Source organism: Homo sapiens, chromosome 16 (genome assembly GCF_000001405.40).
Source record: "Homo sapiens chromosome 16, GRCh38.p14 Primary Assembly".
Lineage (NCBI taxonomy): Eukaryota > Metazoa > Chordata > Mammalia > Primates > Hominidae > Homo > Homo sapiens.
Window position 1 is genome coordinate 85,971,800 of NC_000016.10, and position 17,575 is coordinate 85,989,374.

Consider the following 17,575-nt stretch of genomic DNA (forward strand, 5'->3'; position numbering starts at 1 on the left):
CTGGGTGTAGGCTGAACTAACCTTGGAAAGGAATTTAGTTTCTAGTTTGACTCTGAAACAAAATTGATAATAGCCCTTTCCCACAAGAAAACCCCTTGTTGTCTGGGGCCCAGTTTGCCTTTGTAGGACTAATAAATTAGCTACAAGATTAGAAATTACGATTTAGGGGCCCTGCAGCCTCTGGCTGAGTCTGAACCTTCCCAAATTGCTCCTGGGAATGATATCACTATTTGTAAAACCTAAGATAAGTGCTTGAGATATTTTGCACCCAAACCCGTCATCTGACTCAACCGGTTCTGTGATCCCACCCAGGTACAGAGGACGGCAAGAAAACCTCACTTCAATCCCCGATCATTCCATCTCCAACTCTACCAGCCAGCACTCCCCACATCCCAAGCTCCTACCCACCAAATTGTCCTTAAAAACTCCAATCCCCGAAGGCTCCCCAGAGGCTCAGGGAGACTGATTTGAGTAATAATAAAGCTCTGGTCACCCATACAGCCGGCTTTGTGTGATTTACTCTTTCTCCACTGCAATTCCCCTGTCTTGATAAATCAGTTCTGTCTAGGCAGCGGGCAGGGGACCCTGTTGGGTGGTTACACTATGACTACTGCTAGGACCATTGCCAGTACTACTCATGTACTGAGTTGTTGCGGATACTGCCAGGATCACTCTCGGCAGCACCACTGCGGCTACAAGGACTGCACCTGGGGCTTCTGTTACCATTACCACCGTGACTACTGCTGCTGTGATGATGTGACTGTGCTGCCATGATCTTCACTGTTCCTACCGCCTCTGTGACTACCGCCTCTATGACCGACGCTGTTACTACGACTGTAGCCATTGTTCCTACCGCCTCTGTGACTACCGCCTCTATGACCGACGCTGGTACTACGACTGTAGCCATTGTTCCTACCGCCTCTGTGACTACCGCCTCTATGACCGACGCTGGTACTACGACTGTAGCCATTGTTCCTACCGCCTCTGTGACTACCGCCTCTATGACCGACGCTGGTACTACGACTGTAGCCATTGTTCCTACCGCCTCTGTGACTACCGCCTCTATGACCGACGCTGGTACTACGACTGTAGCCATTGTTCCTACCGCCTCTGTGACTACCGCCTCTGTGACCGACGCTGGTACTACGACTGTAGCCATTGTTCCTACCGCCTCTGTGACTACCGCCTCTGTGACCGACGCTGGTACTACGACTGTAGCCATTGTTCCTACCGCCTCTGTGACTACCGCCTCTGTGACCGACGCTGGTACTACGACTGTAGCCATTGTTCCTACCGCCTCTGTGACTACCGCCTCTGTGACCGACGCTGGTACTACGACTGTAGCCATTGTTCCTGCCGCCTCTGTGACTACCGCCTCTGTGACCGACGCTGGTACTACGACTGTAGCCATTGTTCCTACCGCCTCTGTGACTACCGCCTCTGTGACCGACGCTGGTACTACGACTGTAGCCATTGTTCCTACCGCCTCTGTGACTACCGCCTCTGTGACCGACGCTGGTACTACGACTGTAGCCATTGTTCCTGCCGCCTCTGTGACTACCGCCTCTGTGACCGACGCTGGTACTACGACTGTAGCCATTGTTCCTGCCGCCTCTGTGACTACCGCCTCTGTGACCGACGCTGGTACTACGACTGTAGCCATTGTTCCTGCCGCCTCTGTGACTACCGCCTCTGTGACCGACGCTGGTACTACGACTGTAGCCATTGTTCCTGCCGCCTCTGTGACTACCGCCTCTGTGACCGACGCTGGTACTACGACTGTAGCCATTGTTCCTGCCGCCTCTGTGACTACCGCCTCTGTGACCGACGCTGGTACTACGACTGTAGCCATTGTTCCTGCCGCCTCTGTGACTACCGCCTCTGTGACCGACGCTGGTACTACGACTGTAGCCATTGTTCCTGCCGCCTCTGTGACTACCGCCTCTGTGACCGACGCTGGTACTACGACTGTAGCCATTGTTCCTGCCGCCTCTGTGACTACCGCCTCTGTGACCGACGCTGGTACTACGACTGTAGCCATTGTTCCTGCCGCCTCTGTGACTACCGCCTCTGTGACCGACGCTGGTACTACGACTGTAGCCATTGTTCCTGCCGCCTCTGTGACTACCGCCTCTGTGACCGACGCTGGTACTACGACTGTAGCCATTGTTCCTGCCGCCTCTGTGACTACCGCCTCTGTGACCGACGCTGGTACTACGACTGTAGCCATTGTTCCTACCGCCTCTGTGACTACCGCCTCTGTGACCGACGCTGGTACTACGACTGTAGCCATTGTTCCTGCCGCCTCTGTGACTACCGCCTCTATGACTGATATTTCTCCTGCTCCTCCTATTACTCCCTGCACTGCTTCTATCACTGCCACGTTACTGCCTTGACTCTATGATTACTGCTGCTAGTCTAGTGATTACTCCTCTGGTTACCACTATGATCATGGCTGAGACTGTTGCTTCTGCAATAGTGACTGCTGTTGCTGCTGGTATTACTGCTACCTTTAGTACTGTAACTCACTTGTGGAGGAATGAAATACCCACCGAGCCCCCTTTTCCGCAGCATCCCCTGCAGAGTCCTGCCCTGAGTTTTCTCTGATGCCAGACTTTCTGAGCCTCAGTCAGTCGTCCTGGGGTCCTGAGGTGGCGTCATTTAGGGACGGTGCTGTGGGGGGCTCTGCCGGGCACGCAGGCTGACTTCACCTTAAGCCTGAGCCCAGCCTGATGGAAGTGGTGGTTCTGTGTCCTCTAAGCTCAGGCTTGCTGAGCCTTCCACGACCTCAGTGACCCCTTGTTTCTGTGGATGCCATTTTGACCTTTGGTTGTGTACTCAAGCTAACTGACAACTCCTCGGTCATAAAAATTCTCTGCCTTGAGTTGATGTTCAATGACAGTGTAGGTTTATTGAAAGCAAGTGTGTTCATTATCTAGCACAAGGGTTGAAACATGATTCCTCTGAATGTCCAATATTTGGACAACATTTTACAGGTAAAATATTCCTTTAAAGGGATATCTCTGCGTCAGTAATAGCACAGGCACTGGCGCCAGAAGGTCCTTGGTTGGAGGCCCAGATCTGCCGTCTCCTGACTGTGTGAGCTCAGCTGTCTCCTCCTCTCTCTAAGTCTCTGTTTCTCCATCCATGAAACAGGGGTAAAAGTAGTCACCACCTCCTTCCTGGGACTCAGGTGAGGACTACATGAGATGATGCTGCTGGAACTCAGTGAGGGTCTCACGTCCTGTTTCCTACCTTGACTCAGTGACTGCCACAGAGCAGAGGCTGATACTGTTTATGGAATAAGTGAATTAAGACATACAGAGCCACATTCCAGGGTGGTGCTGGCAGAAAAGCCAGGTGGGTGAGGCTTTGCTTCCTCTCCCTCCTCTTACACTGTGTTCCCACAGCCCCCTCTCCCCACTCCTTAAGGTAGAACTGCCCTGGCGGTTCCCTCTGTCTCAGTCACACCCTGTTCCTAGGATAAGGTATCAGCCGGTGACATCTAGATGCCACTGAAACCAGCAAAGCCCCTCCTTTAGTGCAATGGTGGGTGGACCCTTCCTTTCTATTAGGACTAACCATTTATTGGTGAAAAGACTTCAGGCGAGCAGGTGGAGGGGGTGGTTAAGCCTTAAAACATGCCAGTTGGAGGGCACCAGCCTGGCACACACAAGATCATCCTCCCCTGCCTTGGTGCTGTACAAATATACGACTGCAGCGTGACTTTAAAGGGAATCTCAGATTGGAGGTGCCCGTACCCTGGTCAATGTTTAACAAAGGGCTCCCGGCCAACCCCAGGGTGAGGGGTGAGGGGCTTGTCCAAATTCCACTCTCATTGCAAATTGAACTTAAGGAAATGCCTCCTTTCTACAGCCACACCGTGAGCTTCCCTTCCTCCTTCTAACCTCTATATGAAGGCACCCTGCAGGGGGCCAGCCTCTCTTCTCTCTCTCCATAACTCTCCCAGACATGAGTTGCTACCCGCTAAGATGGCACTTTCATTTGAATGGGAAAAAGGCTTCCTTCCTGGGTGAATGCAGACCTGCAGGCCTAGGGGTTGGTGAGCTAACTGCCAGGGCTTTTGTGCGAAGAAAAAGGTGTTCCTACAAGGCAGCTCACAGCTTGGACTTTAGCCCCACTTGAGACAGAAGCACTTTGTGCAGTGCACAAACCACACCACTGTATGCAGCAGATCTTTTCAAATGCCTGATCCGTTGGCCTTGAAAACTCAGTGGTGGGATCTCCCAGCAGCCACGCAGTTATGTTTCCTCAGAATAGCTGGGTTGCTAAACGAGTTGGAAAACAAAGTCACAAAAAAAAAAACAATGATCTGGAATTAAATATCCTCAAACCAAAGTTCTAGACAGCAGCTGCTTCCCAAATGAACCAAATTTGTAAGTATGAAAAACCTACTCCCGGCCGGGCGCAGTGGCTCATGCCTGTAATCCCAGCACTTTGGGAGGCTGAGGTGGGCAGATCACGAGGTCAGGAGATCGAGACCATCTTGGCTAACATGGTGAAACCCCGTCTCTACTAAAAATACGAAAAATTAGCTGGGTGTGGTGGCGGGCACCTGTAGTCCCAGCTACTTGGGAGGCTGAGGCAGGAGAAAGACTTGAACCCGGGAGGCAGAGCTTGCAGTGAGCCGAGATCGCGCCACTGCACTCCAGCCTGGGCAACAGAGCGAGACTCCGTCTCAAAAAAACAAAAAAACAAAAAACTGCTCCTATAGACAAATCTCCTGATGCGCAGTCTTTGAAAGCTGAGAGAACATTGCTTCTGTGCTGCCATCTTTTGAGTCTGGTTGCCTCATGAGTTTGATGTTGTGCTGTACTTTAAAAATTCTTTCTAATGCTTCCTGGCTTGAGATTTAATATCCTGGTGACTCTATCTTTGGTTTTCATTTTCACAGGCCTTATCACAACTTATTGAGGGCTTTGAAGGAACTTCTTCCTCTTTGATATTCCTGTATGGACAGGGTGAAGTGTAAAGGGATGGCCAACAACAGTGGTTTTAAAAAATTGGGGTGTATCATTAAAAAAAGCCCTGGGAATCTCAAAACCATAGCTGTGATGCCTCTGGGTAAACATTCGAAATCACTTCTTGACCTGAACGTACCTCCTGGGCTTAAAACTCCTTCACCTTCTGGGTTTCCTTCCCTCCATTGTCTGCAACATTGAGTCATTTGCAAAGACCCCTCCTGGTTCACCATGGCCTCACAATGGTCCACCCCTGCTGAACCCCCAACTGCTGCCTCAGCTCAGACCCCCTTCCCATCCGTCTTGCCTGTCTCTCTTCCATGCACGTTGCTGTGTGAACAGTACTCTTCCATAAGACCATCTCTGGCCATACCTCATCCTTGTGATGTTGGCCATGGAATAGCGGGTGGTTGTTCAGGATAAAAATCGCAGTGTTTAGATTGGAGGCTCCCAAATCCAACCCCCCAACCACCACCTGTCGTGGCTGCTGATGACCTTGGATGACTGGCTTAACTTTGGGTCTCACATTTATTCCTCATCCGTAAAATGGAACGAATAGAAGTAGCCACCTTAAAGAGTTGATCAGATGCAGAATGGCTATAACAGCTTGACACAGAGTAAATGCCCAATTAAATTAAAAGGTAGCGGTCACGTTTATTACCACTTCTCACTTTTGTATGACATTCAGTATCTGATCTAGTGTCCTACGTGTAGTAGGTGCTCAATAATAGTTTCCCTTTCTTGTTTTTCAAGGAGACGTGCATCCAAACGTAAGAAGCACACACAAGGGATATATGAGTTTTGCAACAACATTGAGACAATAGAGAAATGTACGAAGTAAAAAATGGAAGCTTCTCCCTTCTCATTTCCATGCCAGCAGTAACCTATGCCAATGGTGTTCTAAGCATCCTTCCCAGACAAACATGGCTTGTTTGTTTTGACAAAAATACGATTTTACTAAATGTATGCCCTGCCCCTTGCCACATGTAGATCTGGGCATGAGGAATGTTTACTTTCACAGGGGCTGTTTTTTCCCAACGATGTGTAGCTGAAAGTGATCTCTGTGGAAGGGCCCTTGTGTCTGGGATTCCTGCCCTGTGGGACAGCAAGATGCCATGTTTTTGAGGTTGCTTTCAAATGGTGACTTTTTTTCTTATCAGAGGAGAGAAAATGGGGAAGATGCCCACCTGAGTATCTTTCTGCATAATACTGGGCCTGAGGTCCTGACGCTAGGGAGGGGTGTTTGCCGCTTTGGGCAAATGTCCAAAATTCCACAGCAGGACACCCTGGTTCAAAACAGGAGAGTTGAACCTTTGTCTCCGCTTTCTCTTTAGTGCCACAGGCAAGAGCAATTCTGACCGAGAATAATTTTGAGAGAACGAGCTTCTGCATCGGTATAAAAACAGTTATTTTGCAAAAGGGCAAAACTGAAAAAAAGTTGTTTTAAGGAGCATTGCAGTTATAGAAATGTGTCGCCTAAAATACTTTGTAACGGTTTGTGGGAATGCTCCCAGCCACATTCTGAGAGGACTCTGGGTGAGAGTTTCCAAGGGGGATGTAAAAAACCAACCCAACCCTGCCAGCGTGCCCGGCCCACCAGCGATGTCACAACACACAGTGCTGAGTGCCCGATGTGGGGCCCACGAGGAGCCAGCCTGGCGCTGACGCTTCGCGTTAGGATGGACGAGCTGAGGATTCGTTCTCAGGGCAGCGGATGCCTCTGCCTGACCCCTTGGTTCCAGTACATTCTTTCAAATGCCGGATTCTTAAAGGAAAGCTTTGCACTTGATTAAGAAGAAAAAAGAAGTCCACCCACCACTTCCTCAATTGTCACGGCTCTTTCACCACTGGGAATGATGAAGATTAAGTAAAAATAGACACAGTCATGATTTGTTACTTAGCGAGGAATACCAGGGCCGCGCTCAAGCCGGCGCCCCGCACGTCCAGGCTCTTCCCACTGGTTCCCACCCCTGCTCCTGCGTCTGCACCACCCACTCTTTCCCGGCCTAGATGCCTGCTCAGCGACACTCTGAGAGATCTCCTGAGCCTCCCTTTCTCCTTGCCCTTGGAAAAATGGAGACGCAGCTACAAATCCCTCATCTCAGTGATGGGTTCATGGCAGGGGAAGACGGTGAGGGCCACGTTGCTCAGGGAATCTCAGTGCCTTCACACCGGCTCTGTGATGCGGGGCTCAGAACATACGCTCCTTCTTGAGCCTATGGAAACGCCACCAGTTACCTGCTAACTTGGTGTCCTGCCACACCGTGTGGTCACCAAGATCAAGGAAGGGCTGGGAAGCAGAGCGAGCAGCAGACTGGAGGCCCAGGTGCTTGGCTGCGCACAGGCTGTGTGCCCTGGGCAGGCTGAGCAGCCTCTCTGGGCTTTCATTTCTGCATCTTTAAGATGGGTGTAGGAATCCCAGCCCTCCCTAACTCACCCGGTGAGCTGGCAGCGGACCGTGTGCCAACAGCGACCGCAGCTGCTACGTGTGGAAGGCCTGAAGAACGCCAGGGCCTGTGTGTTGAGTTCCATCCACCCCTCACTTGAAGTGGGGAGCCCGAGGCACAGAGAGGAGAAAGAACTTGCCCCAGTGGGGAAATCATAGAGCCAGGATTTCAACCCAGGCAGTTTAACAGGGGAGCGGCGTGGTGGACCAGAACTTTCTGCATGGGTAGACACACTCTATTGTCTGCTTGTCCAACACAGAATCTGAATTCTGAACTTTAATTTTAACTTAAATGTAAGCGACACATGGCTTCCTGAAGGGACAGTGCAGTTGAGACCCTTGTGCAGCACCGTCTGCTGGAACTTTCTGTGATGAACGGGAAGTGACCCATGCCCGCACTGTCCAAATGGAGCCACCAGCCGCCATGACACCCGAGTGCCTGATCCTTAACAGGATGGGATTGTAATCGATTTAAATGCGCATTGCCTAGCTGCAGGTGACTGGTGGCCGCCGCTGGGTGGCTCCAGTCCTGCTCACTTAACAACGTGCACACCCATCTGAGAAGGGCTTGTCTGGCACTCACTGCGTTGTGTCCTAAAGATCCACTTATCTCTTTCTCTCTCTCTGTGTGTGTTTTTCATTTTGATGTGTGCAGTTCCCAGCAGGGCATATGGTCCACGGGTGGGGCTGAGTAAGTGTTTGCCAATGAGTAGGCTGGATGTCTTGGTTTCAATACTCATTCACCAAAAGTTGCATTGAGAATTCTGCAGCTGCCGGGCACGGTTCTGGGTACTGGGCAGATATGAGCCATGTATCTCTGGAGGGGGACATGGATGACCAAACAGCTGAATATGGAATTACAGCCTGAAAGGAAAATATAGGGTGGCATTGGGGACGCAATGGGGTGCCCGCTTCAGACAGATGCCCGGGGGGGTTCTCTGAGGACCCACCTGAGGGTCCATTTAGGCTGCAGCCTAGAGGATGGGAGGAAGGGAGGAGTGGGGTTGGAGGTTGGGGAAGAGCTGTTCAGGAACGTGGAACAGCCAGTGCAAAGGCCCTGGGAGGGAAGATGCCTGGTGTGTGCGAGGCAACCAGAGGCCAGTGTGTCGGGAGGCATGGTGCTGAGAGATGGGCTGGCTTGAGAGGGAACTAGGAGGCCCGTGTGTCGGGAGGCGCGGTGCTGAGAGGTGGGCTGGCTTGAGAGGGAACCAGGAGGCCCGTGTGTTGGGAGATACGGTGCTGAGAGATGGGCTGGCTTGCTCCGTTCACTCCCTATTACGACCTTTTGCACACCAGGGTTGGGAGCCTCACGTTGTGTGTATCACCTATATACAAATTTCCCAGATCTTCAGGGGATGCTGAGCTGTTTTAATGATGTGATAGAAATCCTGGTTCCCATGGAAGACTTGCAAAGGATTGTCGTGTTACAGAGCAAGTCAGTTACCCAGCAGGGAAAGTGCTAAACCCACAGGCAGAAACTTGCCTGTAGCAAAATAATTCTTATATTTGACAAACATACATACGTAGCATTTACTGTGTGCTCAGTGTAGCTGTATGAACTCTAAATATGAACCGGTTGAATCCTCCCAGCAGCCCCACAGGGAAAAGTACCATCATCATCATCATCATTGTTGTCACCATAATCGCCTTCATCATCACCACCACCACCGTCACCATCACCACCATCATGACTGTCACCACCATCCGCCTCATCACCATCATCACCACCATGATCATCATCATTCCCATTTCACAGCTGGGGGAAGAGATGCTCAGAGAAGATAGCTAAGTTGCCTGAGGTTTGTGTGACTGGCAGAATAATTCTGTTCATCCTGCCCTGCAAAGACGTCCCCACTCCAGGACTGTGAATGTGTTACCTGACGTGAAAAAGGGACTTTGCAGGTGTGATTAAATTAAGGATCTTGCGAGGAGGAGATTGCTCTGGATTATATAGGTGGACCATCACAAGGGTCTTTGTAAGAGGGAGGGAGGCAGCGCGTCAGAGTTAGAGATGGAGCTTGCGATGAGGGAAGTAGAGTCAGAGAGACACTGGAAGATGCTGGCTTTGAAGGTAGAGGAAGAGGCCAAGAAATATGGCGGCCTTTAGAAGCTGGGAAGGGCAAGAAAAGAGATTCTTCCCTGGAGCGTCCAGGAGGAGCACAGCCCTGTGACACACTGACTTTAGCCCAGTGAGACCTGTGTCAGATTCCTGACCTCCAGAACAGTCAGAGAATCAACGCCTGCTGTTCCAAGCTGCTAAACTTGTGGTCATATGTTATGGCAGCCATAGGAGCTGAATGCAGTCTTAAAAAACGGAGAATGGCTGGGTGCGGTGGCTCATGCCTGTAATCCCAGCACTTTGGGAGGCGGAAGCAGGAAGATCACTTGAGCTCAGGAGTTCAAGGCCAGCCTGGGCAATACAGTGAGATCTCGTCTCACTATACAAGGCTACATTTACAAGAAAATGAAACTAGCCAGGCATAGTGGTGTGCACCTATACTCTCAGCTACTTGGGAGGCTGATATGGAAGAATCCCTTGAGCCCAGGAGTTGGAGGCTGCGGTGAGCTACGATTGCACCAGTGCACTCCAGCTTGGGTGACAGAGCGAGACCCTGTCTCCAAAAAAAAAAAAAAAAAAAAAAAGGTAAGGCAGTGACTTTCAACTTTAAATCTCCTTCATAGACCTATGCCCCTCCTGGAGCAGTGATGGACTCACTGTGGTGCCGTGCGCAGCCCAGGACTTCCCTGAGGCTCCAGCTGTGTCTGAGCACAGCACAGGCAGACTCCAAACCCACGGCACCCACCCCTTGGCTGCTTATCCCACTACAGGGGTATTTCTGGGCTGTGACTTGGGCTGGAGAAGGTGGTGGAGGGTCCATGTTGCTGCACTAGTGTGCTGCTGACTTCTGAGCTATGATCTAGTAGGATCTGGGAAGAATAACTTTTGCCCATGCCTGAACAAACCCACTGAAACACAGGAAAAGCTGCCCCAGTGGGCTTGGAATGTAGTCAGCCCGACCCGCTGCCTCTTCACGCCTGACGACCAAGGCGTGCACTTACAAAGGGCTGAAATGAATGTTCCTAGGCGCCCAGCTGGTCAGGCCTGGATCTTTCACATAAAAAGGGATGGGGGGCAAAGACAATGAGAAGCGGGGGACAGAGGGTGGAGAGAAAACATAAGGCCTCCCGCAGTGCCTGGCCTGAGTTTGAGGGACACGGGGTCCCGGGGTGAATTGTGGTTGGGGGGAGCGGCTGGGGTGGGAGGATGACTCGGCAGCTGCACTTTCTCTGATTCTGCCAAGTCCCCCAGGAGCCTAGATGGACCTGTGAGCACCAGGGGCGGAGGACCCCGGTGGGGTGGGAACCACCAGCAACAGGAAGAATCTGAAGGAGAGGAACTTGGCAGAAACCCGACTTCTCTAAAAATATTCAAAGCCCGTGGCCCACAGAGGCTGGATTGCGAGGCTCCTGGGCTCCAGCAGCCGCGTCTCTGACCGTTGAGACCTGGCGCGGTCCAGGCGTTGAGCAATAGGGCTGCGCCCGGTGTCATGCCCGCCGCCCACCCCGCCCTGCCTGCTCCACTTACACGGAGACGAGAGGCAGCTGCTGGTGTGGCCGCGTGTGCATGTGGCCATGTGTGTCTATGTGTGGCCATGCGTGTGTGAGTGTGGCCTCTCGTGTCAGTGGGTGGGCCTGCTGTCGGCTCCTGCAGTCCCCTGTGGCCTCTTCTCCAAGGACAGGTAGCAGAGCCCTCCTGTGAACCCAGCACAGATCCTGGGCTGGCTGTGGTCCGGGAGGGCCAGAGCATAAGGGAATAAGTGTGGAGCGCTTGCTCTAGGCCCAGCCCTGTGCTAAGCAGACCATAGCTGTAACCCAAGACACTATGAGATAAGAACTACTTTTGGCCCTATCGTACAGAGTCTGAGATGAATTCAGAGAGGTCGAGTTGTTTGCCTGAGGCCACACAGTGATGGGTGAAGCTGGAGGAAGCCAGCCTGCAGGGTGGTGCCCCTAATGCTCCACTCCACGGCGTCGTCGAGGACGGACACCCCAGAGCCAACCCAGGGCCAGGGGGCCCGCATTCCCCAACACCAACCATTGACCTGGAAGGTGGGGGCTCTTGCCTCTACCGCCAGGTCGCTTGGGGCTTCTAAAGCCTTTGGCTGTTCTGCAAGGAGGTCTTCGGGGGTCTTAGTGTGGGGAGATGAGGGATGGCAAGCCGAGGGTGGGGAGGCTCTAAGGCCCCCAGCTAAGAATCGTTCAGGTGGGACTGAGACATTCATCCTCCGTCTCAGACGTCTAAGATGTCTGTCCTTGTCTGAGACACAGCTGAGGTCTGGCTGTCTCTCTTAGGCCCTCAACTCCAGGAGGCATCAGAACTGGGCGAGAGCATGGGGCGCCAAGAGCAAGCTCCAGATTCACAGGAGCTGCTGCCTCTCAGCCCCTTCTCTGCGCTGGTCAGGCCTCTCAGCCCACCGGAAGGGCAGCGGGGCCAGCTCTCTTTTCCTTCCTGGTGTCTGGCTCTGCAGCTGACGGTTGGCTCCTCCGCAGCCCCTGCTGCGCTTCCTCATCTGCAGAGCAGAGCTGCGTCGGGGGCACTGCTGCAGGCGGGGGACCTGGTCCTCCCTCAGCGGGGTGTCCGCTCTGTGTCCTCGCCTTCCCTGGACCCTCCTGCCATTCATTCTGGGGCTGTCCGGGGTGGTCACAGGCATGATGGGGTGGAAGGCGCATGCTGCCCAGTCCCTGGTAGACCAGGTGGAAATGGAGGTGCCCAGCTTTGAGGTGTCTGCCACTGGTGGCCCCGAGCCCGGGTCCTGGATCCCAGCTGCGGGCTCACCTTCTAGCACCCTCCCAGCCACTCTCCAGCCACAGGAGCCTCCCCGTGCCTTGGTTTAGGGACACAGGGACAAGAGCCTCTGTCTCAGGAGCCTCCCCATGCCTTGGCTTAGAGACACAGGGACAAGAGCCTCTGCCTCTTGGACAGTTGTGAGGATTAAGGAATCCCTCATGCGGCATTCTTAGCCCTGTGCCTGGAACCATGTGGCTGGGATTGTCACCTGATCAAAGGCAGGGCGAAGGTGTGCTGAGTCCTGCCTTGGCCAGGAAGGGATGTCTACAGTCAGCCCCATCACCCCATTTTGCAGATGAGGAAATCGCCCGAGGATGGATCCGACTTGTGGTTTCAATGGAGCCCTCATTCTTCTCTTCACTTACCCTCTCCGTGAGGAGGAAGCCAGTGCACATCAAGCGTTTCCTGTGTAGCACAGACTCTTCTCCCAAACATCTTTGCATTCTGCACTGGTGAGGGCCAGTGGTGCCACACCAATGTCCCAATTCACCTTGGGAACGTCCTTGAGCGCATTTCTTTTTGTCTGTAGAAGTAAAAGAGTAGAACTGAATGCCGAAGCCAGCAAGCTGTTGGAACCTTGGAAACGCAGAGGGCATGAAGGCTGAGTCCGGGGTCCTACAGTCAGAGGCTCGCATTCAAATCTTGCCTCTGCCTGTAATTGCCGTGGGACCCTAGCAGGTGACTTAGCCATGCCCTGCCTGGGTTTACCTACCTGTAAAGAGCCCTTGTAAGGATGAAAGTAGGTGGCACAGACCAAGCATCTGTACCTGGCAGACCAGTCCTTAATAAACAGGAATTATTGTTACTATTATCTTGATTGACATTTTCATTTTAACGCATAGGAAACAGGCCTGGAGAGAGGAAGTCCGTTTCGTGATGGCTGGAGAAAGGGCGTCTCCTGACCCCTCATCCAGAGCTGTCTGTGCTTCCCTTGGCAGCAAGATGACTGACGGAGCCCAGACAAAATTTTAGTTCCTTCAAAGAAGTGTTTTGCTTTCGGGGCCGTTGCTCAGTAACCCTGGGGCCGCTGGCTGAAGGCAGCATAGGCACTTCTCAACAAGCTCTTGAGTACACGCCTGGGGAGACGGGGCCTCACTGTCAGGGGGAGACCAGCCAGGCTGCCCTCACCGCGTTCTCTCTGTCTTTCGCGGCAGCCCTGCAGTCCTGGTCCTGATGAGTGGGAGCCACAGCACGTGGCCTTGGGAACAGCTCTTAGCCACTGGGAGTCTTGGTTTCCTTACCCGTAATATGAACGCAGAGGCTCCGAGCTCCAAGCATGGTCAGACTTAGTCACGTTTTCACCCTGCAATGGAGGGATGTTTTCGAAACATTTTTTTTGACACCGTGTCCGCCCAGGAAATACCCTGAGAAAATTAGACAACTAAATGATATTGACTGTTCTCATGAATTACTCCAATAATTTGTTTTTTCCTTGACCTGCAGGTTAAAGTCAGCATTCATTGATCTGCTACATAAAGTAACATTTCTTCTAATTCCAAATGTAACATGGGCTTAATTTGGAAAACCTGGAAAACAAGAGACAAACAAAACGTTGGAGGGGGAAAAAAAAAAAAACCCAACAGTGTGGGGAAATTAAAAAAAAAAATCCCCAAACAAAAAGAAAATGAAAAGGAAAGTCAAACATTTATCACGAGATAGGAAGCTGTCATAAAACTCTTGTGTTTCTTGGAAACACTGTCCTGCTCCCAGTTTGGAGGGCCATAAAAATCTCAGGTTATTGCCTTTGCAGATGCCCTCTGGGAGCCTGCTGGAGGAAAGTCTTCATTTTCTAGAACCTTCTACCCTTCGGATACGTAGTGACACCAACCACGAGGTGGTCGGTGTGGAGGGGCAGCCCTGGTCTTGCACCTCCAGCAGGTTGCATGTTCTGGACTCTGATGGCCCAGAGGGACCCTTCTTTCTGCAATTTTCTAGGCAACTTGCAAGAGTTTCTTAACCTCTGTGCCCCCTACCTTCCCCATCTGTGAAATGGGGGATCGCCGGGGGTTGATAAATGTGAAGTCATACACATGGTAGTTGTTACTGGGAGTCTAACCACACCCCAAGCATTTTTTTTTTTTTTTGAGACAGTCTCACTCTGTCACCCAGGCTGGAGTGCAGTGGTGCGATCTCAGCTCACTGTAGCCTCTGCTTCCAGGGTTCAAGTGATTCTCTTGCCTCAGCCTCCCGAGTAGCTGGGATTATAGGTGTGCACCACCATGCCCAGCTAATTTTTGTGTTTTTAGTAGAGATGGGGTTTTCACCATGTTGGCCAGGATGGTCTTGAACTCCTCACCTCAAGTGATCTACCCGCCTCGCCTCCCAAAGTGCTGGAATTACAGGTGTGAGCCACTGTGCCCGGCCCCCAAGCATTCATTTAATAAAAAACTATTGCTTTAAGAACAGAGCATGGGAGAAGCAGATGGAGAACTGGAATGGCATTAGCTTCCCAGAAACCCCCATCCTGTCCCTTCAGATCACCACCTAGACCCCCATGGGGAACCCCTATCCTAACTTCTAACAATGTAGATCAGTTTTGCCTGGTTTGGAAACCTGGGTAAATGGCATTGCTGTGTGGACTCTTATATGTGGCTTCTCTTACTAAATATCAAGTTTGGGAAATCATCCATGTTTTTACATGTAGTTGTTCCCTGGAGCAGCTTCCACGACTTGCCTGGAGGCTGTCAGAAGACAAAAGACACATAGGCCACTTCCAGTTTCATAGATTCTGCTGGTTTGTTTTTTTTAAATAAAGAAATGCCAGAACACAGATGCACACACAAACAGAAGGTCAGCATTCACAGGTGGACACCTTCCTCCAGTGTTGAGTGACTGTGTGCGTGGATGCCTCCGTAAGTCCAACACTGACACTCTCTGTGAGTTGGGGCAGCCCTGCCCTAGTGTGTGAAGCTCTGGTCTTGTTAGCACTCGGTCCCTCCCAGCTGAGAAACACTGCCCAGCACACAGCAGCGGCCCGGCATCTGTCGATCAAACACATGAATGCACAAATGAATGAATGGGACTCAATCATCATAGGAGGAAAAGCAGAGGAAAGAATGTATTCTGATCTCCATGCCCAGGGCTGTCCTCCAGGTCCAAGGAGCAGAGGAGATCAGCTCATCGTGTCGGATAAGGGACACCTGTCCCCTGGGAGCAGCTGCTATGGCCTCTGTTGCAGATATCTGTTCTACTTTCTCTTTCACTTTCTTTCTTATCCCTGCATTTCAAGTTGGGGTGCAAAGCAGGGTAGGGCCATAAAGACAGGGGATGTTGTAGCAAAGAGCTTGGAGGCTGCTCTCTTGGCTTGGAGCTTAGTCCAGGGGTCCCTCAGCCCTGAGATGCTGGGGATGGGGCCCGAGGGTCTCCACCTGCTTCCTGCTCCCATTCCCTGATGGCCATGTGGGAGTCCAGGAGGTCATCCGAGTGTGTGGCAGTGCAAGGATGTTGGGGTGCAGGGATCCCTCCCTGTCCAGCACACTCTTGACACCCCCATGCCCCAGCGCCTCCAAAGTCCCACCCCAGGGGCTCATGCCACATCCAGTGGGTGTTTGGGGTCACTGAGAAGACAGGGACAGCTGGAGCAGCAGCCCTCAGATGGCCTCCACCACCTCCTGGGACCCTTGGCCATGAGGATCCCATGGGCAGCAGCGCCCCCTGCTGGCTTATCGTCGACCCTCCCCCCCCCCCACCACCCCCCGGCTCTCCTCACCCCGGCTTCTTCCCTGCTCCTCCCCATCCTCCTCTGGGACCTCTAGGACCTTTGATTGTCACTAAGTCCATGCACTGCCTGTTGGGCTGCTGGATAAGCTGCAGGGTATCAGTGGGGTGGATGAATTAAAAAAGGTGGCCTCCCGAGAATATGAGCCCATCATTGCACTCCTGGATACATACACCCCAAAATTCTCACCTGGGGTCCACTGGGGACGTGGATGATGGTGTTATGTGTGCTGGGGAGTGTGGGAACCATCCGATGCCCCTCAGTGAGGGCTGAGTTGTATGGTGGGCATACCCTGGTTATGCAGCGGCAAGGATGAATTTTAAAAACAAAACACCAATTTAAAACAGTAAAAAAGGGCCAGAATGGGAGGACAATATGATACCAACACCTGTATTTACCAGAAGTAAAATGCATGGATCATGTGGATGGTTACAAAAAACATGACAGAGTCCAAGCAGACCAAGTAATTGTGAATCCCCAGTCTGAGGGTATACTCCAGTCTGAGGGACCGGGACTCCAAGGTTCCCACGTCCAACAGACCTTCCTTCCAACACTCTTCATAGGTGCGCAAGGGAGCTCGCCTTCTCTTAAGCCTCCCCCTTTAATTGTTTTCTGTAACCTACAAAACGGCAATTTCATGTCATTTAACCAGACAAAGTGTGATGTGTTTCTAGAATAGAGAATGCAGCAGTGAATGTGAATGATTAGATCCACATGTAAAAACAGAGATGATTTCCCACACTTGATACTTAGTAAGAGAAGCCAGATACAAGAGTCCACACATCCTGATGCCATTTATCCAGATTTCCAAACCAGTCAAAACGGATCTACATTGTTAGAAGTTAGGAGAGGGGCTCTCCTTGGGGGTCTGGGTACTGACTTCCAGGGGGCATGAGGAGGGTTCCTGTTGGGGGCGGGTAAAGCCATTCTATTTCTCTACCCAGTGCTGTTACTGGTGCTTAGTGGGTGAAATTCACTGAGCCGTGCACTTAGGATGCATGCGTTTTTCTGAACCTGTGTCATACTTCAATACGACGTTCAGAAACGCATGTTTCTAAAGCAACCACGGACAGTGCAAGGACACCTGAGAACCACAGGACACACATTCAGTGTGGGAGGACAGTTGTCCAGGGTGGGGAGGGTCCAGGAAGCTTCCTTCTGTGCCAGGCATCCTGGGCCCCTCCTCCAGCTCTCTCCTGAGCGCCTGCATTGCTGGGGGCCTAGACTTGGCTGGCAGGAAAGGAGGAAAGTCCCCTCTAGTTTCTTTTTCTCGACACTGAAGGAGGTGACAGGTATTTGTTCCTGAAACTCATGGCTGAGCTAATTTTACACAGTGAGTGAGGCGCTGCAGAGAGAAATGAAACGGTGGCTCGGGGGGTCTGATCTGGGCAGAATGGAAACCCTCACGGGGCAGCTGGGAGTGGTGAGGGGGAGGCTTCAGAGAAGAGGATCCCCCCTTGCATACTTATGAAGAGTGTTGGAAGGAAGGTCTGTTGGATGTGGGAGCCTCGGAGTCCTGGAATGTCAATGTATACCCTTGGATGGGGAATTCACAACTACTGGGCCCTCTGAGCCTTGGT

General features: G+C 52.0%; 1 long non-coding RNA gene across 1 annotated transcript, besides 5 other annotated features; it reads right to left on the reverse strand.

Moving 5' to 3' along the window:
- Positions 441–941: an enhancer, noted in NCBI's record as "H3K27ac hESC enhancer chr16:86005846-86006346 (GRCh37/hg19 assembly coordinates)". NCBI's record gives its function as "activates a minimal SCP1, AML or CMV promoter by ChIP-STARR-seq in primed H9 embryonic stem cells {active_cell/tissue: H9 hESC(primed)}" and the evidence as "EXISTENCE:reporter gene assay evidence [ECO:0000049][PMID:30033119]".
- On the reverse strand, positions 5,617–13,498 carry LOC124903741 (uncharacterized). Its single transcript, XR_007065161.1, has 2 exons — positions 12,990–13,498; positions 5,617–12,800 (listed from the first exon to the last, which is right to left on the reverse strand). It is a non-coding gene; the product is annotated as an uncharacterized LOC124903741 (long non-coding RNA).
- Positions 7,993–8,052: an enhancer, noted in NCBI's record as "active region_11307". NCBI's record gives its function as "activates an Ori minimal core promoter by ATAC-STARR-seq in GM12878 lymphoblastoid cells {active_cell/tissue: GM12878}" and the evidence as "EXISTENCE:reporter gene assay evidence [ECO:0000049][PMID:35858748]".
- Positions 15,279–15,398: an enhancer, noted in NCBI's record as "active region_11308". NCBI's record gives its function as "activates an Ori minimal core promoter by ATAC-STARR-seq in GM12878 lymphoblastoid cells {active_cell/tissue: GM12878}" and the evidence as "EXISTENCE:reporter gene assay evidence [ECO:0000049][PMID:35858748]".
- Positions 17,089–17,148: an enhancer, noted in NCBI's record as "active region_11309". NCBI's record gives its function as "activates an Ori minimal core promoter by ATAC-STARR-seq in GM12878 lymphoblastoid cells {active_cell/tissue: GM12878}" and the evidence as "EXISTENCE:reporter gene assay evidence [ECO:0000049][PMID:35858748]".
- Positions 17,159–17,418: an enhancer, noted in NCBI's record as "active region_11310". NCBI's record gives its function as "activates an Ori minimal core promoter by ATAC-STARR-seq in GM12878 lymphoblastoid cells {active_cell/tissue: GM12878}" and the evidence as "EXISTENCE:reporter gene assay evidence [ECO:0000049][PMID:35858748]".